The following is a 23,698-nucleotide window of genomic DNA, read 5'->3' on the forward strand; positions in this document are numbered from 1 at the left end:
TGGTATGCTCTTAGATGCTTTATCATCATATGTACAATGGGTAAGTATTTTGATCCTGATTCTATAGAGCTCAAAATGTTTACAACAGTCATTAAGGTAACACGTCAATTAAGTGGTAAACAAATTTCAACCCAGCTTCTTATGGTTCTAAATTTGAGATCTTTCCAATATGGGATAAGAATTCACCAACTTATCTGCCTCCATTCCAGTTAATTTTTATACAGAGCATACATACAAACACCTACGTTATATGTGACACTTTAACAATTCAACAAATAAAATTAAAATAAAAATGAAAGTTAAAAACAATCCTTATTTTATTGTATGTTCTTCCTATTTGCCAGTATATTAGTCTGTTCTCACACTGCTGACAAAGACATATCTGAGACTGGGTAATTTACAAAGAAAAAGAGGTTTAATGGACTCATGGTTCCATGTGGCTGGGGAGGCCTCACAATCATGGTGGAAGGCAAAAGGCACATCTTCCATGGCAGCAGGCAAAAAGAGAATGAGAACCAAGTGAAAGGGGTTTCCCCTTATAAAACCATCAGATCTTGTGAGACTTATTCACTACCACGAGAAAAGTATGGGGGAAACCACCCCCATGATTCAATTATCTCCCACCAGCTCCCTCCCACAACACATGGGAATTATGAGAGCTACAATTCAAGATGAGATTTGGGTGGGGACACAGCCAAACTATATCAGCCAGCAATCTTCCTGAGTCTGTTAAAATTTTTTGTCACTTATTCTTTGCCCTTATAATATTCTAGAAAGTTTAACATTCTGTATTAATAATTGTTCCTGCCATTTATACATATAGAGTTGGTATTTAATATATTATAACATCGAGCTCATTAGTAAGGCAATTCTTTCACGTCATGAACAAGCATTCCATTACTTAAAACAAAAAATTCTAACACCTTAGCACTAAGTATAGCAATTTGCTTTTGTGATGTCCCTTTAAAACATGTTCGGAGGGTTTATTTAAAGTTCTTGTGCCAGAGTCAGGCCTGTGAAATGTGTGATGACTATGGTGGACTCAGAGAAATGAAGGCCTGAATCATCATGCTGGGGCCTCAAAGGGATTATTCCTATAGGCAAATGAGCTTTATTTTATACAGATTCAAAAAAAAAAAAATGTAGGTTCTCATGACTATGCCCCAATATCACTGTTGGAAAGGGATCTTGCTAGTTCTCAATTGCTTAACAGACATCTGCTGAGAAGCAACACGATGAGGAATCTTCACGGCCCCCATCTCACCATGTCAAGAAACTACGAAGAATCGCTGCTGACCAGGCCCCCAGCTAGTCTGTGAATTCTTCCCAGGTGAGAATTAGTACCACACCCATCAGTTACAGCAAGCCTGATCTCTGTCCTCTCCATCAGCCTGTTTTAAAGCCTAAGACCAGGACAAATCCATTCTCACTTTTGAAAAGGGGAGAATTATTTATACAATGACATTCTGTGGGTGGTTTGTGAAGAAGGCAATACAAAGAAGAGAATATGTCTCTTCTATGTCTTTGTCAGCAAACTGAACTAAGAGTCAAGAGACGTGGGATCTGGTTCTGGTTTAACTACTAACCAGCAGTGAAACCTTGTGTGCACTACAACCCCTTCTTTAGCCTTAGGTTTCTCATCTGCCAAGTTTGAGAATAAAAAGTCAACATTTTAGAACCAGACAGTCCTAGGTTCCAGCTCCACATCAACAGAGAGCTGGTAGTTCTTGGTCATATTACTTAAGCTCTTAGATCCTGAATTGTCTCATCTATTTAACAGAGATAATGATCGCTACTTTCCTTTCCCTGGAGGGCTGAGAAAAACTGTTGGTGCTCAATAACTGTAAATTTGCTCCTCCACTTTGATCACTCTCTAGCTGTACTGTTGTGGAATTCCAAAAACTAGACTATTGATGATTTGAACAATTCTTTTTTTCTGTGAGATATGCCCTCCTAATAAGTTGCTGATAATAACACATCACTATACAGCTCTTTTCAAGACATTTTTCTGTCATACTCCATTCTATCAAAGTGACAAAAGACTTACATTCTTATTGTCTTATTTCCCATAGAAATAGTCTCAAACCAATGGGAGAATAATGGAAATTTTTTCAGTCCTGTGATCCCTCTACAGGTTCTTCCTATGCTTACATTCTCATGAAATTGCACAAGATCACACACAGCAGGTTTCACAGTCATGAAACTAAAAGCCACATTAAACCACAATGTGATGTCAGTCTTGTCTACCACTCACCATCTCACCTCAAAAACAAGTAGGAAAGGTCACATTTGGAGAAGAAAGCTTTATCTTCCTTTTTCCTCTAGTTATTAAGTTTACTGAAAGTTTTAGGGGAAAGGATTATTTTTTATTTTAATTCTGAAAAATGAAATACATTTAAGGGGTTTGGTTTGCCTGACTTCCCTTCTATCTCTCTGGATCCCAGTGGTTTGGGGAGCTATGGCAGAGAGGCACATGTGAGAGCACATACATCAGCCTGAATATACACTGAATATACACCAGTCTGACTGGCAGGTTCATTAACCAGTTATCTTTAACATTGTGCAGCTTCCTTTGAGTTAACCAATTCAGAAAGTTATTGATCAGTGGTCTGTAATACACGGCAGACCATATAGAGATTTTAAATATGTTGTCTTGCTTGATTCTTAGATCTGCAGAGCAATGATGGTGAGAGAGGAAATGAACAGACATTTGATTCTTATAACTTAATAATTTCCATATATGTATTATGGTTGTTTCATTGAGACCTTTACTGCATGTCAGGTCCCATGCTAAGATCTTTGCTTTCATTATCTCTTTTAATGCTTCCATGATGTAAGTTGCTATCACTCCCATTCAGAGACAAAGTCTTTCAAAGGTTATCCAGCCAATAATTTGTCAAACCACTCTTGTCTGACACTAGAGATAAAGGGTCTATGAAAGAAAGCATTAGGTCCAGGGAACCCCCTCATATTATAGAAAGTAAATACTGGAGGTGAGAATTGCGCCCTTTAAAGTCAGCACCACTGCTCATTTAAATACACCAAGGCTTGGCTTATTTTACCCTGACAAAGTGCCCTAAAATCCCCTTGCTGGGAGAAATAGCAATTAACGTGGATGGTAAGCATGTGGGCTGGTATTATGTAGTTGGAAAATACTGAGGTCAATTTCTCAGGGTGATCTTAAGTGCTCATGGGGGACATCACTTAGGAATAAATATATCATCATTTCTCCCATTCCATGAAAAGACATCGTTACAGTGACATTGAAAAATAATCACACATATGGTTGAACCATATGAAATTGCCAAATTCAAACCAATTTATAACCTACAAAGTGACAACTTTATATGGCTCAAATGTTTAAAAAGCAAATATAGTTCTGGTGTTTTTAAACACCTACACTAATTCTACTCCTTCCTAAAATCCCACTAAAACTTGTGAAGTAGATAATTTTAAAAGACAGAAACCTACAAGGAAAGGAAAACAGGACAGGCAACAACAATTACAAAATTTCGGAGGCTGAAAAGCAGGCAGATGAGTGATAACTAATTTAGCAGTTGCAATAAAGCTGAATCATAAGATAAAGTGAGGAAATATAAGGACCAATCCAAGTTGCATTGAAGAATCTTCAAGAGGCTCAGCACCCATCAGCACTGGAGCCTCTGGAACTGGGAGTGAAGAGATGGGAAGCTAAAGTCAAAAGGGTTGGTGAAAGACATGTTTTGAAGGAGTCCCCCCACCCCTTTTCTCATTCCTTGATAACTATCCCTTCTCCATCTCATCAAAAATCTGGAGGCCTCTTCTCTGGCGAGGAATGTTTTTAAAAAAGGTCTTTGGACATGGTGTTGACAGAAAAGGTTGATAGCAGTGAGTGGCTAATCGCATATCCAATGCTGAAAATTTCTAACCCTCTCCTATGGTTCAGCTGCCACAATACTGGTAGCCAGACTTTTGCCCTCCAGGCAGGATTTTGGAAGAGTACTCCCTAGAGAATATAACAAGCCCAAGGGGAAAGACATAAAAATAACCACAGGAGAGGTTCCCTAAACAACACATTCAGAAAATGCTACGGTGGATCTCAAATTCAATCAACTATCCCTTTCCCGCAATCACGAAAAAATAAGGATTGAGTAACAACTGAGGACAACCTGTAACACAGAAGAGAAAGGCCAAAAATCAAACTGAGAAATGCCACTTATACGTGGAACCTAGAACAACACACAATCATTAGTATCCCCAGAAATGAGAAGACAGTGTATTCATGAAAGTAGAATGTTGTGAAAAATAGAACACACACATACACAGCCTACTTATGAAATTAAAATCATCACAGCAGAAGTGAAAAGCTCAATAAAAGCATTTTTAAAGAGATGTTTTAAAGTCAAAATTGAATGATTTGTTTAGAAATCCAAAAAATAGTTCCAGAGAGAATAGAATAAATCCAGGGAAGGAAATAATCAATAAAATGATTCAAAAAGATTTCCTGCAGTGGAAGGACATGAGTTTCCAGACTAAAAGGGCCCACTGAGAGAGCAGTGGGAGGAAATGGGCTCTCATCAATGTACACTTTGTAAAATTTCAGAGTACTTGGCTCAAAGACTACATAAGCTGTCAGTGAGAATCAACAGGTGCGCGAAAAGAAGAATAGTCAGAATACGTTTAGATTTCCAAACAGCATTACAGAAAATCTAGAGGGCAGAGAATCCAAGTCTTTAGAAAATTCAGTGGAAATTCCTAGCATGGCATTGTTCTGCTGGTGTAGATAGCACTTGACAGATAGAAAGGGAAGATAGAGGTATTCCAGATGGATACACCCAAGAGAAAAATGGAAAAGATAAATTTCTTAGTGTGGTTGATGTGCGGAAAATTGTGCTAAAATTTTGGAAGGTATCAGGAAAATTAGCAATATATGCAGACAACTAATGATACGAAAAACAAAGAAGACAATCCACTTCAGAAAAGACAAAAGGCAAGAAAGAAAGCAAATGTAATTCTCTACAGTGCAAAGCTGGGAATAATATTTGCACAGAAGCACTACAGTAATAACTGAATATTGATTTAGCCAAATATAATGGGGACAGGGAAGCAGAGTGGAAGGAGCTGAAACCTCATCTATCATAATAGAAACTCAAGATAAAACTTAAAATTCATTTGTCCAAAGAAAGCAATATATGCATATTATTCAGAAATGTGTGTGCTTAAATGCCAGAAGTAAAAACTAAAAGAACAAAACTGTTCCTTGAAGAGGGAGATTGAAAAGAGTGTGGAGCAGTGACACAGGGAGTAACTTGGAAACTGTTATGAGCTTTTTATAATTATTTTTAAACCATGGGCATGTGTTACTTTGATAGAATAAATATTATTTTTTTAAATATAAGTTCAGTGAACATGAGGATACAGCCCCTCTGAAAACAAATTTTTTTCCCAGTTTTGACACAGGCCTTCTTACTATTACCAATACTTAGAGAGTGGGCAAAATTGGCAAAGCAGTATGTTAAGTACTGTTGAGAGAGTCACAAGAATACATGACTGAAATAAATTCATCTTAGGGAGTTCGAAGCTTTGACCTTACAAGACCAGTTGAGAAAGAAGAGTCAACGCTTCCTTGTGTGTTAACCAGAGCTGTAAGCTCAAGAAGTACATAGGCTACAAAACATCGTATACAAGACAGCACATTTTGGTAAAATGAATATTAATTACTAGTAAATAAGTTTAAGAAATAAATGTTAAACTATTTCTTATTTCCCTCTGTTGAGCTTTAAATCTTCATTACTTTCTAAAGTGATCTTTCTGTCTGTGAGACTTTGTTGACAAATCGTTTCATGTCCTCTGGGCAAGTCTTGGAACATTCTCTTTGTGCTTCCAAGGAGAATAATAATCTTGGCAAGAAGCTGTAGTTGTACTAGCTTTATTTCTCTTAGCTGCGGGTGAATGTCCCTCCAAGGGCTCCTGCTCTGGGCCAATTTTGGATGGGTGAAGTGTGACATAATTCTTATTTTTGCATCTGACCATTTAGAAGAGGTTGTCTTTGTCCTTTCAGTTTCAGTTCTGATAGGTCACTTTGTGGTGATCTATATTTAAGAATTGCTGTTGAGAAACATTGTCTTAGCATAAATACTAGACGTTGTGCTTTAACTCTTCCCTCACTTCTCACCCCCTTGCTGATCTAGGTTTTCTCTTGCCAAATTGCCATAACTCCTCATTCTTTTGCTTAGGTCTCTCATTCTCTTTTGCATCGTATCAAATGTTTATACAATTTTATGGGATTTTGGTTGGTGGTACATGAGCTCCTATGACTAACTCTTTAACCTGATGAAAAAGCCTCCTTTGACACCTTTGCTTCTGTTAGCACATTTGCAAGTTTGGTTTTGTCTTTTGCTACCCCTGCAAGCTCCCATTTGTAGTTACATTTTTTTTCTAATTTCTATCAAAGATCTATGATTACATGATTTCTGCTGCCTCTAGGGAGACTGTGTCTTTGTTGGTGTCTTCTCTATGTTGATGTCGACTTTCTGTTCTTCTTTAGAGTTATGAGTGTGTTTCTTCAAATACTCCCTCCTACATTCTCCAAATTTACACATTGGTTTTGGGGCCTAAATTCTGAATTCTGGCTGGTGCATTTCTTCATTTCAGGTGTGTCTTCATCTGGATTGTGGTGGATCTACTCTCTAAGACTTTGCCTATGTCTAGAATAAGGAGAGGAGACCTGGAAGAACTGCAAGTTTAAACTCAAGAGTTACTGAGAATACAGAAAATACCTGCAGAGCTGGGAAGCCAATGGGAATACAGAAAAGCTTGCAGAATTGAAGAATCCTGAAAACCCCAAGTGCTTTCAATCCAGACCCAGGCTCCCAGGGGGACACTGTGATGGCACTCACTCCAACAGTTCCCTAGCAAAGGTCTCCAAGCTGGTCTCCTGGAGAATGTTCCCTTCTTGGAAAGCTGCAGCTAATGAAACTAAAATAAATGATAAAAGGATATTTGATTCTCAGAAATCCCGTTTTCAGTCAATGTGGCTAGAATACATGCATTTAATAAAGTAAAGCCATCTCTTTTTTCTTAGTTTATATATTCAAAATAAGATTTACTTATGTTGCTGATGGCATTTACTCATGTCGTGTATTCATTAAACATTTATTAAGTACCTACTAAGGTCCAGGTACTGTAAATTGGCTTATTCTTTTGGATTATAATTCAGCAGCACATATTTGGAGTCATTTTTATATGATTAGTATCGGTAATCTGACTCGTGGGAATTTGTCTCAAGCTAATAATTCAGATGACAAAAACGTAAGTAATATGGAAAACATATTTATAGCAGCAATATTTATAATGGTAAAAAATCTAAGTGCCCAATGATAGGAGAATTAAGATAACAGTGGTATATTAATTCCATGAACGTTAGGTACTTACTGCAAACAATAAATATAAAGTTTAGTAAATGGAAAAGAGTACATGAGATGTTGGGAACAAAACTAAGACAAAAATTCCATTAAAGTACAATTGCAATTATATAAAAATATTTACATAGGTATGAAAAGTGACAGAAAACAATGAGAAATGAAATAGTTGATATGATTAAGTGGTCATATTATATCCTTATTTTTCTTTTTGAAAAATTATAAAGCTGTCTTAAGAGTAAGTAAAAATAATGACACGAATTAGAAAACATCTTAAAATCATCTACTTTTTATAGCACATGGCAATATGCAATGTATATGGAACTCCTAGGATCCTTAATATTAATAGTTTGGTTACATATGGAAATGTTTTGACCCTTGATGTCAAGGGAAACAGCATTCTCAGAAACCAGCAGCGATAACCAATGTCATCCAATACTCAAGGGCACGTAGTTTCCTAGTCTTAGCTACTTCATTTCCCAAACCAAATTTCCCTGGTTTCTATAACTCTTCAGTTGGTTTCTCACTACTCTAAGGAGTGATCACACTTGTCCAGTGCTTTCGGAACCTTGAACTCCTTAAGAGATCTCGGGGGTAATAGAAAATTCAGCTCATACTGAGCTAAACACTTACACTCTGACTGAGCCTGGTTTCCTCATATGTAGAAAGGAGATGATAATAGCTCCTCTCCCACAAGGCTGTAATGACAAGGTATACAATGCACCCAACACAATGCCTGCTCCTTGATGGGGCAGGGCAGGGGGACCAATAAAGGGGTATTTCCTATTTCAAGGTTAAAAAGCCAAGTAAGGTTCTATGGGCCATGCAATGTGAGAAGGTTGGTATGAACTTTTGTAAATAGTCACCTCTCACTCAGCTGGCACCAAGCTCTGCCATTGCAGCGTGTGACCTCAGGCAGCACGGTGGGCTGTGCCCTGAAAGCAAGTTTCTGGCAAGAACATTTGACTGCTTATTTTATTATTGTAAAGGCAATATAATTTTATTTGCTTACTAAAAAAAAACTTGTAAAGGAGTGAAAAGTGGAAAACAATTCCCAGAATCTTCCTTCCCTTTTGAAGACAATGACTGTTAACATTTTAAAGTGTACAGTCATGTGCTGCATAGCAATGATGGATGTCATATATATCAGTGGCCACATAGGATCATAATTGGGCTGTAAAATTCCTATTGCCTAGAGATGTCATAGCGCAATGCATTACTTCTGTGTTTGTGCTGGCACTGGTGTAAACAAATGTACTGCGCTGCCAGTCACGTAAAAGTCTAGCACATACAATTATGTACAGTACATAATACTTGAAAATAAATGACTCTGTTACTGGTTTATGTATTTATTATATTTTCAATATTTTAGAGTGTACTCCTACTTATAAAAAAAAGTTAACTGTAAAACGTCCTCAGGCAGGTCCTTCAGGAGGTATTCCAGAAGAAGGCACTGTTATCATAGGAGAGGACAGCTCCATGTGTGTTGTTGTCCTTGAAGAGCTTTCAGTGGGACAAGTTGTGGAGGTGGAAGACAGTGATATTGATGATCCTGACCCCGAACAGGCCTAGGCTAATATATGTGTTTGTGTCCCAGTTTTGAAAGCAAAGTTTAAAAAGTAAAAAATAAAAAAATTTTAAAACAGGGAAAACTTACAAAATACAAATATGAACACTTTTCTACAACTGTACCATGTGTTTGTGTTTTAAGGTAAGCGTTATCACAAAAGAACCAAAAAGTTTAACAAATTAAAATGTTTATAAAATAAAATTATAGTTAATTTTAAATAAAGCAAAAAAATTGCTAAGGACTCCTTTACTTTTAGTGAAGAAAAAAAGTTAAAACATTTTTAATGGTAAGGTTAAGGTTTATCGTTTAAGAAAGAAAACTATTTTTTCTAAATTTAGGCCTCATATTCACTCACCATTCATTCATTGACTCGCCCAGAGTAACTTCCAGTTCTACAAGCTCCATTCATGGTAAGCACCCTACAAAGGTGTACCATTTTTTATCTTTTATATTGCATTTTTTTGCTTTACTTTTTCTATGTTTAGATACACAAATACCATTGCATTACAGTCGCCTATAGTATTCAGTACAGCAAGGCGCTTTACTGATTAGTAGCCTAGGAGCAATAGGCTATAACATATAGCCCAGGTGTGCAGTAGGCTATACCATCTAGGTTTATGTAAGCACACTGCATGATGTTCACATAATGACAAAATTGCCTAATGATGCATTTCTCAGAACATATCTTGGTTATTAAATGACGCATAACTGTATTTCTTTCCAGGCTTCTCCTCTGCATAGGTTTTGGCTGGTAATCATATGCAGCGTGATGACAACTGTGATGCTGCACATGAAATTTTGCATTTTGGATTTTTTATTTAAATGCAGTAAATAAGTTTCTGGCAAGATCATCTAACCCATTTCATAGTTTTCAGGGCCATTTTTAATGGTTACATAACATTCCCATTTGGAAAACTTATAAGTAGCATGCGTGCTTTCCTTTCTTGCCCCAAGAAGCCACTTGCACTGCCTTTCATTTCTAGGAAGACATCTGAGTTTTCCAAAGGACTCTACATCACAGAGTCAAAGGTGTTTGGGAGCACAAAGATCTTCCTGGAAAGGGTGGAGTAAAGGGTAAGAGGAAAAGAAATAAACAGAGAAAGAGAAAGGCTGAAAGAGGAGAAAGGGAGAGAGAAAAAGTGAGGCAAGAAAGAGGAGGAAAAGAAGAAAAAAGGAGAAGAAATATGAAACAGACAAAATATGAAATAGAAGAAAAAGTAAAAGAAAAGGGAAGAGAAGAGAAGAAAAAACAAGGAGAAGGAAAGTGGGAGGAGGAAGAAGGTAGGAGGAGGAGGAAGAGGAAGTTTGAGGAGGAAGAGGAAGTTTGAGGAGGAAGAAGAAGTTGGAGAGGAAGAGGAAGTTTGAGGAGGAAGAAGGTAGGAGGAGGAGGAAGAGGAAGTTTGAGGAGGAAGAAGAAGTTGGAGAGGAAGAGGAAGTTTGAGGAGGAGAAGGAAGGCAGGGAGAGGAGGAGGAGGAATCTGAGGAAGAGAAAGGTTGGTGGGGGAAGAGAAAGAAGGGAGAAAAGAGGAAGAAGTGGGGAGGGAGAGGGGAAAGGTGGAGGGGAGGAAGAGAAAAGTGTGAGGAGGAAGATAAAGTAGAAGGAGGAGAGGCAAGTATCTGGTGTTTTTAGATAAAACCTGGTCGCCTTTGATTCTTCCACGATAGGTGCTTTCTAAGGAAGATCATGATTCCCTTGGGGTCTTGGCTCATTGGCTTCCAACATATCACCAGCCTCTGTCATTTTGTTCTCAATCATTCATATTTAAGGCTTGGCCACTGGAACTTTTGGCATTTGATAAATCTTTATTTTGAATCACAAACACATTTAACTGACATTCTTCTTTCTGAAGACTCATCATTACTCCACTAAATGGATGAAGGCCTTTAATTGACTCCTTGGGTTTCAAAGGGCTGGGTCCTTGAATTCTGCCTCAAGGGATTCCATTTTGTTTCTTTTTGATTCAGTGTCTGGCTGGGACTAAAAATCTCTCTTCCCCAGGTTTTGCTCCTGCGGCATTCACCACGTGCTGGCACTTTTACAGTCCCTGGTGGGGCTCTGGGCCCATGTGCTGCCTCCCGTTTTGGAAAAAGTAAGGTTTATGGAAGATTCTGGAAGCCCCTTATCCTGCTACCAGTTGATCAGAGCTGCTGAAATAAGGGCCCTGAGTCTGGCTGTCCTCCAGTCTGCTCAGTTAATTATGAGCCTGGGACCTGCCATTGCTCACAGGATGACTGTGGACATCAGAGGCACTGGCAGGTCCTCCAGTAAAGGCTGGAGCAGGACATGAACAGCTTGCCAGCATGCCTGCTCATCCCATCACCCCAGATGCCAAATGCTGTGCCATAGTGCCTTGGCAGGAAGACCCTCCCAATCAGTGGGTTTGCAGGGCCCTCTTCATCATAGCAGTCCAAGCCCAGCAAGCAGACAGACCCCTCCAGCCCCAACAAACACACACACAACCAGAGAGGGCAGGGATCGGGCTGCTTCTCTGCTAGGGAGGAGCCATGGTCAGAGAACCTGGTGCTTAAACCTGTCTCTCTCACTTGGGTCCTTTGTGACTTAAGTCAGCAAAATGCCTTAGACTCAGTGTCCTCATCTGTAAGATGGGGACAAGAATCCCTGTCCTGGTTACCTTGCAAAGTTGTTGCAATTGTAAAGGATATAATGGAAGTTAAAGTACACAGTAAATAAATGTGCTTCACAGGTCAAGGGAGAAGGAGAGTGCTGTAGTAGTAGAGAGAAGCTCTACCATTGGATTGGAGCTTTGGAATCAGGAGTCCTAGGTCCAGATAACAACTCTGCCATCCACAACATGCTTTCACTCAATTCCCTTGTTCTGTAAATGGAGCCAGCAATGCCCTCTGCCCTTCCTCACAGATATTTTTTGAACATCAGGTGAGATAAGGGGAGTAAACCTGGGAAGTGCTTCAAATAAGACACTATTAATATTATCAGCCTCCCTGTTGTTATGGGCACTATTGTCAGAGGCGATGCTCACCCTTGGTGTTATGAACCAAGCTTTTCCATTTCCATCCAAATTCAACCCAAATCAATTGAACCCTCACCCGCAAGGTAATGGAATCTAGAGGTGGGGCCTTTGGAAGGTTACCAGGGTTAGACGAGATCTTGAGAGTAGAGCCCTGTTGATGGGATTAGTACCCCTTTAAGAAGGGATACCAGAGAGCTTGCTTGCTCTTTCTTTGCTACAAGAGGATACAATGAGAAGGTCACCCTCCATAAACCAGGAAGAGAGCACTTACCAGAACTCGGCCAGGCTGGTGCCCTGATCTCAGACTTCTAGACTCCACCACTGTGAGAAAATAAATTTCTGTTGTTAACCACTCTGTTTCTGGGAAGACTAAGAAACTTGGTGTTAGGCCCAGCCAAGAACACGTTTCGTGCCCTAGATGTGGACCTGTTATCATACTCCCCACCATGGCTGGCAATCACCCAGGGTTGGGACTAGGGTCAAGAAAATGAAGACTGGCCTCAAGGCAGAATTTAAGGTGGTGCCTGAAACTCAGCACTGAGATAAATATTTCAACACAATGTTAAACACAACAACAATTTAATGCAAAATATCCAGGATGAACAAAATACCAAGATTTTAAGTAAAGATGAGATCAGTAACAGTGCTATACCAAGTCACATTGGAGCCTGAGGCAAAAGGAAAAATTAGTAAGAGTGAATTTATTTTAACAATTTTGATATTTTGCTCACCATGGATTTTTTTGCATAAATTTAGATTTTAAAAATATTGCCTTAAAATATGGATTTATCTTGATTGCTAAGTCTTGAGCCCACTGAAGTTTTGTACCTGAGGCAAGTGCCTCCCTCTCCTAACCTTAGTGCCGGACCTGTAGTCTCCCGTGTTGTGTCATTTCATGGGGCCTACTGGCCCATGACCCTGTCTCTACCTCTTCCTTGACAATCTAAATTTACTGTCTACTGTCTCATTTTTCTAGGCCATGTTCAGTAAATCTATGATGGATATTGAATTCAGATTTACTGAATAGTAACTATTGACAAAGGATTTATTCTCTCAGAAATTGGCCATTGAGCAAAAGTGTCCTTAAAACACAATGTGTGAAGCCAAAAGAATGAATCTCTCATGGTGGAATGTTAATTTTTCATTCAACAAACAATTATGAAATGTCCAGTGGTTTGTGTCTTATGCTGATACTGAGGATATTTAGACGAAAAGATCCTCTCTGTTCTGAAGGGCTTACGGCCTCACAAGGAAGCCAATGAATGACAGCACAATGAGAGCGGTGCTCCACGGCAGACGTGGGGAAAGGGAGGGCCGGGAACAGCTCTCAGTCGTGCCTCCAGAACCAGTCTTCACAGAAGACTCGCCAAAACTCACCAAAAATAGTAACTATTTTATTCTGATTCTATTTCATATATGCTTATTGTAGAAAAAATCGGAAAAGACAAAATATAAACAAGAAAATAAAAATATTTACTCTCACATCCCAGGTATGACTATTGTTAACATTTAGCTTAGTTTCTTTTCAATTTGTATCCATGCCTATATTTATATCTGCTAATATAAATAAGGTATAAATAAGATATAAAATAAGGTGTGCACAAAATACGGAACTGTTAAAACTTACTGCCTTCACTTTGTTCTGGGGCCTGCATTCCAAGCGATGGAGTTAAAGAGAAAGAGAAAGAAAAGAAAAAGAGCATTTTTACTAAAGAAAAGCTGTCTTAAAATAGTGGGATCCATTTTTAATAAATGTTCAATCAATTCCAAGTTCAAACTGCCCATCAGTACTTGTCTTTCCTTTGAGACTCTCCTGCCTGCTTCTTCCATGGTTCTGGGGTACAGGAGTTAGTGTGCCTGTCCTCTGAGAGGTGGGGGTCTCCCTTGGCCTCCCATGAGAGGTCACGTGGGGATCATGTGCCTGAGTCTGTCTGGTGTGGGTGTGCTGCTGGCACCACTGCTGGGGAGCACGGATCTTGCCATTGCTCAGGTGGCCATGTGCCTGCCTCCATCCTGACCTCGAGCCTCTTCTGGCTCATAAGTTCTCTCAGCACTGCCATGTGCCCCATCCTGGTGTGAAGCAACTTCCCTGCTACCACCTAGTCTCACGGCAGGAGAAGAGTTTGGGGAGATGGACACAGGTCAAAAAGGAAGGAATTTGAGTTTTATTCTAAATGCATTGGAAAGCCATTAGAAGGTTTAGGCAGATAATTGATACGAAGCAGTTCTCATTATGAAAGGATCACATTCATTGCTCTGTGAGAATGGATTGGGAGAGACAGGAGTGGAGGTAGGGTGACTAGATAGGAAGCTATTGCACAATCCAGGCCAGAGGTGATAATGGCCTAAACCTAGGTAGTGGCCACAAAGATTAGAGATAAATGCAGGAACTTGATACGGCAGGACTTGCTGATGTGTTGGATGTTTAGGACAAAGGGCAGGTGGATGGTTACACCACTATTGACATGGAGGAACCTAGGTTGGGACAGATTTTACATGAGGGTGAGATCAGGAGTTCTGCCTTGAACATGTTGAGTTTCAGATTTTCCTGAGATCTTCAAGGGGAGATGCTAAGCAGGGAGCTGGCTGTGTGAATTCAGGAAACAGGTGTGGACATCGTCAGCACATAGCGGACCTTTAAAACCATGGCAATGAATGCAATTACATGGTGATTCACGTAGGCCAAGAAGGAAGAGCCTCCACCTAGAGAGCTTGAGTAGAGGAAGGAACAGGGAGAGAGGGGGTCAGGGAAGAGAAGTGTGCCACAAGCCAAGAAGAGTAAGGGTTCAAGGAGAGGAGGACATGGTGAACTGTGGAAAGCTGCTGAGAGGGCAACCAAGGGAATCCCTTCTGAGAAGCGCTCCACACCTCCCCTGGCAGTCTGGGAGCCTCTCCTATCCTCCCCCACCCCTCCCCAGCCCCAGATATACTCTTTATACACTCATCACATTTCACTGTAGGTTTTGTTAACATATCTGCCTCCCTGACTAGTCTGAGAGTGATCCTAATTTCTCCTTGCATCTCCTCCAGAGGTAGCCCAATGTCTGATCAAGTCTCAGTTCCCAGTAAATGTTAAAGGAGTTAAAAAGATTAATCACTAGGGCGAATAAGGAGGCTGTGCAGAGCACTGGAAGAGATCCATGAAGATTAAGAAGGGGCTGTTACTCCTTCAGACAGAAAATGAGCAGGCACCATTCTAATAGAGGCATGGCTATTGCAGGTGCCCATGTTTGCAGGGCTGGCTCCTCTGGCCTCCCTTAGAGAAGCTCTTTTTCATGGCTGAGAGGAGGGGTCAGCTTGGGAATTAGCTCTACTGATTGCTGGCATTTGTGAGAGTTTTGGAAGGTGGAAATGGGGCAGATTGGCTGCTTTCTGCCGGCAAACATGGCCCAGGGACGTGCAACTCTTCCTCAGCATCGTAGAACTTGGGGAGCTTCAGTGGTGGAGGCAGTGACTTCCTATCGCTGGATCTCAGTGACTGCAGAATGTTCTGCAGCTCTGGGGGCAATCTCCTGATTGGGGCAGAAAAGGCGGCTTCCCTGGTGGGTCAGGTCTGCAGTGCTCTGGGGGTCATCAAGCCCAGCTTAGGGCTCACTCCACCAGCCCCTCAGTGATCTGATAAGTCAGTTTCCCGGATTACATGTTGTTCTCTTTCAAATACACAGGGGGTTTCTGGTTCTGGTTCTCAGTGCTCACTGAGAACACCATTCCCTATAACTCTTCTAAGCAACAGCCTGCAAGGAGGAAGGAAACAGGCAATTAACATGGTGAAACAATTCCTCCTTCCTCTGTCTGTCCACCCAATTTCTGGGGGCACATGACCCAGGAGTGGCTTCACTGGAGTTGGTTCCCTGAAATGGAAAACCATGAAGGGTATGAGACTGCGTAATATATGCTGATGTAAGGGTCAAACAGAAAGTCGGAGATGAAGGTGAATAAGACAACAAATAATTCTGTGTGGGACATTCTGTGCAGGTCTCCAAATTAAATGGAAATGGTGGGGATTGACGAAAGGTTCAGAGCAGGAATTGTGAAACGGCTCCTGGCAGCAGCCTGAATCTACTCTGCACTCTGTCATGATGCCATTGCCTGGGACTTACGAATTTTGCTTGTACAAGATTTATTATCTTATTTTAAACTACAGAATTCCAAAACACAAGGCAAACCCGGGCCCAAAGGTCTTTGTAGAAGTGGTAGCAGCTGAGAAGGGGACGTTCATAATGGCACATGGTAGGTGCTAAAACTTGCCTAATGAATGAAGGAATGGTTAATAAAGGGCTTCTTATGGCATGGCTGTGAGCATTCACCCTCACCTCTTTTTCTGTGGTTGAGCAAAGTGTTTTGAGCTGCGTTTGTGCTCGCTTGATACGTAATATTGTTAAGAGCTTGATATTGCTCTTTGTAAACCTCCTCACCATTGGGACTATCCTCCTTGCTGCCTGCCTCCTCCCCCTTGTCTTCTTCAGTCTGGAATGGCTTCATCTCTGCTTTCTCTCAACCCTCATAGCCCAAACTTGGTAAACCCTGGATCAAGTCCTACCGTCTTCTTCAAACTGCTGGGTTTCTCTATGATAGACATCTCATCTCTCTGAGCTGGCAACACCTTGAGCTTGTACACACTTTAGAGAGTTTCATCCTGCTGAGTCATGAAGCTAGCTGAGTAACATTCATCTTGCTGCTAGAATTCCTGGAAGGGAAACCAGCTCACCTGCAGCCCATTGCATCTGCCCACTACTTCACAGGCCTTAACTCTCTAAGTCATCATTTCAATCCTTCAAAAGACACAAGGGATCTTAGAGTTTAAATAACTTTCCCGAGGGCAGCTGGCTTGGAATTGGCCAAGCTGGAAATGGGCCTTAGTTTGGAACTGAGTCTGTTTGGACCTCGTGTGTGTGCGTTTGTGTGTGTGTGTGTTTGTGTGTGTATGTGTGTTTGTGTGTGTGTGTGTGTGTCTCCTTTATTTAGTTTACCACATGAAGTATTAATAATTTTGGTTTCCAGCTTCATCCAAAATCATCATTCTCAGCAAACTATCGCACGGACAAAAAACCAAACACCACATGTTCTCACTCATAGGTGGGAATTGAACAATGAGAACACATGGATACAGGAAGGGGAACATCACACACCAGGGACTGTTGTGGGGTGGGGAGAGGGGGGAGGGATAGCATTAGGAGATATACCTAATGCTAAATGATGAGTTAATGGGTGCAGCACACCAACATGGCACATGTATACATATGTAACTAACCTGCACGTTGTGCACATGTACCCTAAAACTTAAAGTATAATAATAATAAAAATAATAATTTTGGTACATATAATAATAATACAGTGATTATGTTTTTTAAATGACCACATTTGTTAAAGATGCCCACTGAAGTATTTACGGTAAAATAGCATGATGTCTGATATCTGTGTTAAAAATTCCAGAAAAATCAGTGGATATGTGTGGAGAAAAAGTGGATGAAATAAGACTGGCAAAGTGATAATTATTGAAGATGGGTGTTAGGTACATGGGGGTACATTTTATCATTCTTTCTACTTTCTGTATTTGTATGAAATGTTCCATAATTTTTAAACCACTATAGATATTATTAATTTCCCGTGTAACTCACTCTAATCTCATTCTCCTCTCTGCCTTCCCAGATGGAATTGCCATGCTGAATTTGGTGTTTTTACTCCTTTCCATAATTTTAGTATTACTATACATTTAATTATAGTATTACTACACGTTTAATTACAGTATTACTACACATACATGTCTTAAACAATATATAGAATTAGTTTGCACATTTCACAAATTTATATAAATAGTATCATACTGCACATTTCTACAGAGTTTTTGCAATATATTCATGCGGACACATGGATAACTCTAGTTCTTTCTATTTTTAGGTAAGTAATACAAAGTATTCAACAGTATGGCTATATCTAAATTCAGCCCTATGTTGATGTATATTAAAGTTGTTTTCAGTTTTCAGTTACCACAAACAATGCTGCAATAGACCTTCTGAATATCTCCTGTATAAATGTGTGAAATTCCCTTTAGGATACTAAGTAGTGGAATTGCTAGTTTATAAGGCATATGCATCTTCCTCTTAACTGGATCTTGCTAAATATTTACTAATGAGGTGGTGCCAATTTATACTCTTCTGCCGTATATGAGATTTCCATTTATAGTCACATCTTCATCCTCATTTAGTATTTGAAGACTTCAAAATGTTTGCTAACCAAATTGATGTGAAGGAATATCCACTATTTTATTTTATTATTTTATTTTATTTTATTGTTATTATTTTTTTTTTGAGGCAGAGTCTCCCTCTGTCACCCAGGCTGGAGGGCAATGGCATGATCTCGGTTCACTGCAACCTCTGCCTCTGGGGTTCAAGCAATTCTCGTGCCTCAGCCTTCCCAGTAGCTGGGATTACAGGTGTGCACCACCACGCCCAGCTAATTTTTGTATTTTTAGTAGAGATGGGGTTTTGCCATGTTGGCTGTGCTGGTCTCAAACTCCTGGCCTCAAGTGATCCACCTGCCTCAGCCTCCCATAGTGCTGGGATTACAGGCGTGAGCCACCGTGCCTGACCCCCATTGTTTTAATTTGCAAATATCTGATAGTGAGGTTGAGCATCTTTTTATCTGTTAATATTCTTTCATTTTCTCTTTTAATTCTTTAAACTGTGTCTAATCTAAAGCTTATCTCATCTCTTATGCTTATTTTAATATTGTTATTTCCAATATTTTTAAAATTTCGGCTTTGTCTTTTTAAAATTTCTGCTTTGGCATTCTAAACATTCTTACTTTAAACTCTTGGAAGATTATAAGATTAATTTCATTCAGAGTGAACTCATATTTTGATGACTGACTATTGATTTTGTAGACTCTTAGATTTTTATTGGTTTTTGAATTTAAGTGTGCAGGCTCAGTTTGAATTTGGGATTTTTGGTTCCTATGTTTGTTTGTTTTTTTTCTTCCTCTTTCTCCCTCTGTCCACATCCCTTTCTATCTAGCATTACCAGTGGCTCCTTCTTGGATTCTTAGATTCTCAGTTTAGACCAGGGTCTTATCATGGTATTTCAGGTCTCCCTTTTTAAGGTGATATTGAGAGCACTGGAGAATCATTCAAGGAGCAAGGGAGGGGCTGGTGTCAGATCCTGTTTGTGAAAAATACCTGTGCCTTACTGCCTTCAGAGTCTTGTAGCTTACTAATGGCAAAAAGCTCCAGGTGGTGGTCAATAGCACTTTTTTTTCAGCTCTTATGCATAGGACACCCCTACACCAGCCTGGGCTTCAAGAAAGGAGCTTGGCTTTGGTCTCCTTCTTTGCATAGAGCAATTTTAGTCTTACTTACCCCACATACGCATCCCCTGTCTGGCCTGTCTCTGTTTATCACTTTCAATTTCTCATCTGCTTCTATTTTACAGAAATGGGTAACCAAATTTTCTAATCCAGCTCTGAATTTTTTTCAATTGTATTTGTAATGGATAGGCACCTACACAGAAAGGGTGCGTTGGGTGAGATTTCCGATAGTCATTGTGATTAGAGATACAGGCTACTTTGCTCTGGGAGTTAGCTTTTTATATCCTGGGCAATTTCTCATAGGGTTGTTATGTGGGGTTGTTGAGACAAGATACGAAAAATATTGAAGTCACAATTTTGAAGACACCATTCTGTTGTGCTCAGGACTGAATGTTGCTGCGAAGTATGTTGTGAATCTGATTCCTGTTTTCTTGTGAGTGCACAAATACACACAAATGTATGCATGCATGCCTTCATATTTCTGTTTGCAAGTATAATATCTATTTGTCTAATTATCTACTTGTGTATATTATGTGTTTATATCTTTATTTGAAAGTATTTACCCTTTTCTTAGGATTTTTTTTAATGTTCTGAAATTGACAAAAATGAACTGATGTGTGAACCTTTTCCTTCTTTCTTATTGATGCTCAGTGAAGCCTTTCATTCAGAAAACTTGTATCTCACCAGTTATGGGAAAGATTTTCTTATTATTTTTATGTTATTCCTCCTCCATTTCTCTGTTCTTTCTTTTGATAGATGTTGCCCTTTCTGGATTGACTTTTGTGTCTCATATTTTCCTCCTTATCTTATTCTCATATCTTTTTTGTTGTTCTTGTTCCATGTTTAGAGAAGCTCCTTAATGTTTTTCAGTAGTTCTTTAATAAACAAATTTGTTGGCAAGCATACATTTTTTTTTCTTTCCATGAATTCTTTCTTGTCCTTTAGCTGATTCTTTTTCATGGTGGCCTGTTCTTGCTTTATAGGTGAAATATATTCTCTCTTTCTAAGGATACTCATAAGAAGTTTTAACAGTTATCTTCTCTTCCCCAGATTCATTCTTGCCTCTTAGGTAATTTGTTGTGAATGGTCACCTTCCTGCAGTTGGGTTAGCTCAGCTGTCCGGTGGTCCTTGGTCATCTTCCATGTTTATAAATGAAGGACTGTGCTGAGCATCTGACCCCAGAGAGCACTGTATGCAGACTGGTTAGCACCAGCTTCTCCCTGGATTCTGTCCTTGACAGGATGACTGACCAGGCACTTTCTGTCCCAGATGCACTCAGGGGCTGCATGCAAAGAAGAGACTCCGCTTTCCTTGCAACCTTTCCGCCTTGGGTCTCCCTTTTCCCTGGTTTATCAGTTAACATGACTCCAACTCCTTTATACTCCTCCAGAAAGTTATCGAAGTCTCTACCATAGATACACCTCCCCATTCCTATTCTCAACATTTGAAAAAATGTGTTTCATTCTACGTTGTCTAAGCCTGATGGGACTTAGGAGGCAGAGGATAGCAGGTAGCTTAAGGGGTTCACCATCTTGAAGCAAAACATGAATGGGACGAACTGAAAATTTAAAAAAAAAAACATCGCTCTTGCTGCTCTATGGAAAGGAGGTTGGATAGGGCCATAAGTTAGAGCTCAGAGGCCAGTAAGTTTCATCAATTTCTAGCACAAGGTGATGGGGCCATGTCTGAACTGAGGGAGTCAGAAAAAAAAAAAAAGAAGTAGGAGGATGAGGGAATGTATTTTGAAGGTAGGGCTGACAGAGGTCTCTTTTCACTTCTTCTGAACATGTCCATACTTGTGTGAGATCCTGGGATTGAGATAAGAGGGTCTGGGCCTCAGATGACTAATCTAAGAGTAGCATGGAATAGTGGATAGAATACAAGGTTGGGACAAAGGCAGGTCTAAATTTGAATTATACAAGTGATATTTATAGACTACCTCATAGCCTCAGCATCCACATTTATAAAATGGGTACACTAATACCTACTGTTTTCAGTCAGGCAACAGAATTCCCTTAGACAACTCTACAGAGGAGAATTACTGCAAGGATACAGGCAGCTTAGCCTGGAAGTGGGAGGCTGTTCAGAATCAAGGCACCGATCTCTCCACAACTCTCTATAACCCAAAAGATTTCTCTCTCACAGCATTTCCATTTCTGTGTGTCTAGTGAAGCTCTGTTTTCTGAATGTCAGTTTGCAGAAGAAGATAGTCTGATTTCATTAGGTCATTATTATCAACCCAGTTGGAAAAGCCGTTTCTAGCAGGTTGCTGACCATTGACTGAGAAGGCTTTCTTAGGTTAAGTCAGGGGGCACTTCTGTGCAAAGAGCGGAATAGCCTTGCTTTTCTGGCCAGAGTGAACTCCATGTGTTCAGATAAAAGGAGACCCAGGAGGCATAAGTACCTTGACTAACATATTCAGTACCTTATCTCTTAGGGTTGATGTGAATAGCAAATAAAACAAGACATGTAAAATACATAGTAGGTAGTAGATTTAGATGAATCCCACTTCATTAAAAAACAAACAAACAAGAAAACCCGCTTGCATTCCTTAAAAAAGTGGATTTAATAATTGTTAGGCTACCCAGCTTTCCGTATTATGGGACATCCTAATTAGCAAAAATTAGTTTAGTCGTGGAAATGTAAGCAGGCTTTGAAATGCATCCAAAAATAAATACTGGAGAAATAAAAGATCCCAGGAATTTGGGGGAATTACTTTGTTTCCTTGGTTTTGTTTCTTTGTGAAAATCTCTATTGTAAATTCAGTGAGTTGAATTAATTATGCCTGATACATGCCTTCCCCTCTTTATTTTTCTTGAAACTCCAAGTCAAAATATGATTTATATGTTCAGCACCACGACTGTTCAATATCTATTTCTAAATCTGTATCGTTAAAAATATATATGAAAACAGAACCTGTTATACTGTCATTTAATTAATAAAGGCAGAATTCTCAGTTTTCCCACCATATGCATTCTTTTGTTCAGTTGCAATGTAGGTGCTATTTTCTGTGTTCCTTTTTAACTTTTAATAAGCTTCCTTTCTGTAAAGTGTGGATAGTGTTGTAAAAGAGTAGCTAAAACATATTTTCAAAAGAAAAACAATCCTTAACTGAAAATTGATCCAAAGGAAGGGGGAAAAAAGAAAACTACCCTGACACATTGACATAAATTTAACATTCCTTATGTGTTACTGCTTATTAGATCGAAAGAGAGGAAAGAGAACAGCCTCACTTTTTCTGATTTTGTATTTTGTCACTCAGTTCTTTCAGTTTTGTCTCATTAACATTTCTGCTTCTGTAGGAAATTGGAGGCGTGTGGAGAGAAAACAGACTGTGGGGTCTGAAGACCTGGAACTGTGTACCAGTCCTATAGTTAACAAGCTCAACCTATCAGCTGAGGAATAAGTAGGTTTGGACTAGGCCTGGGCTTCCCAAAGAAACAGCCTGACACTGCTGATCTGGGATTTGTGAACATTCCATAATATTGACTCACGTAATGACATGTTAATCCTTTTCTTCAATTTATGTTCAGTACTTTTCTTGCATTATATCATGGAGAAAGCTTCAATTTTATGCTGGTATGTCCTTAACACCTTTCTATCCTTGATCTTAGCCAAAAGGTTGAGAAGCAGTCTTCAACACCTTTCTAATCCCTCACTGATTTTCCTTTTTTAACAGAGCAAACCTCAGGCTCAGACCCTTTGGCAGGCAGCAGTATCTAGCTGGAATTTAAAAATCACTCCCCTCACCTCCCGCGGCATTTGATGTTAAGGTCACTACTAATTATGGCAAGTGATCCTGCTATTCCATTTACAAAAATAATACAATGTTTTCTTTTAAAATAAATGAAATCTAAGTTTTAAAAGTATGTCTAATGAATACAGTCACATGTCACTTAACAATGGATACATTCTGAGAACTGCATTGTTAGGTGATTTTGTTGTTGTGTGAACATCATAGACTGTATTTACATAAACTTAGAAGGAATAGCCTACTACACACCTAGGCTATATGGAATGGCCTATTGCTCCTGGGCTACAAACTTGCACAGCATGTTACTGTACTGAATACTGTAGGCAATTGTAACAAAATAGTAAGTATTAGTGTATTTAAACATATCTGAAGATAGAAAAGGTAATGCATTGCACTAAACATTAGAATGGCTATGATGTCATGAGGCAATAGACATTTTCAGCTCCATTATAATCTTATGGAACCACCATCATATATGTGCCTGTCGTTGACCAAAACATCATTATGCAATGCATGACTCTACTATTATTTGTACAAGAGGCAAATAGTTATGGCTAGGATGGTAAGTGATATGATTGAAGGAGAAAACACTGGTCTAGATGATCTCTAAGAGCCCTTGCAGCTCTTGAGGCTAAGCATTCCCACTTTCTGTGCCCATCAATTGCTATTTCTGTTAGTAAT

General features: G+C 39.5%; 1 long non-coding RNA gene across 2 annotated transcripts, besides 1 other annotated feature; it reads left to right on the forward strand.

Annotated features, from left to right (window-relative positions):
* The first annotated feature begins 15,940 nt into the window (after window positions 1-15,940).
* On the forward strand, window positions 15,941-23,318 carry LOC105370847 (uncharacterized). 2 transcript variants are annotated; one of them, XR_932332.2, is made up of 3 exons: window positions 15,941-16,190; window positions 22,566-22,842; window positions 22,943-23,318. It is a non-coding gene; the product is annotated as an uncharacterized LOC105370847 (long non-coding RNA). The 2 variants fall into 2 exon arrangements; XR_932333.2 differs by having other exon boundaries at window positions 22,566-22,669; window positions 22,797-23,318.
* Window positions 16,687-16,887: a silencer, noted in NCBI's record as "peak2363 fragment used in MPRA reporter construct". NCBI's record gives its function as "represses an SCP1 promoter by STARR-seq MPRAs in K562 erythroleukemia cells {active_cell/tissue: K562}" and the evidence as "EXISTENCE:reporter gene assay evidence [ECO:0000049][PMID:32103011]".
* Window positions 23,319-23,698: the final 380 nt, after the last annotated feature.

The sequence above is a fragment of the Homo sapiens genome, chromosome 15 (assembly GCF_000001405.40).
Source record: "Homo sapiens chromosome 15, GRCh38.p14 Primary Assembly".
Taxonomy (NCBI): Eukaryota; Metazoa; Chordata; class Mammalia; order Primates; family Hominidae; genus Homo; species Homo sapiens.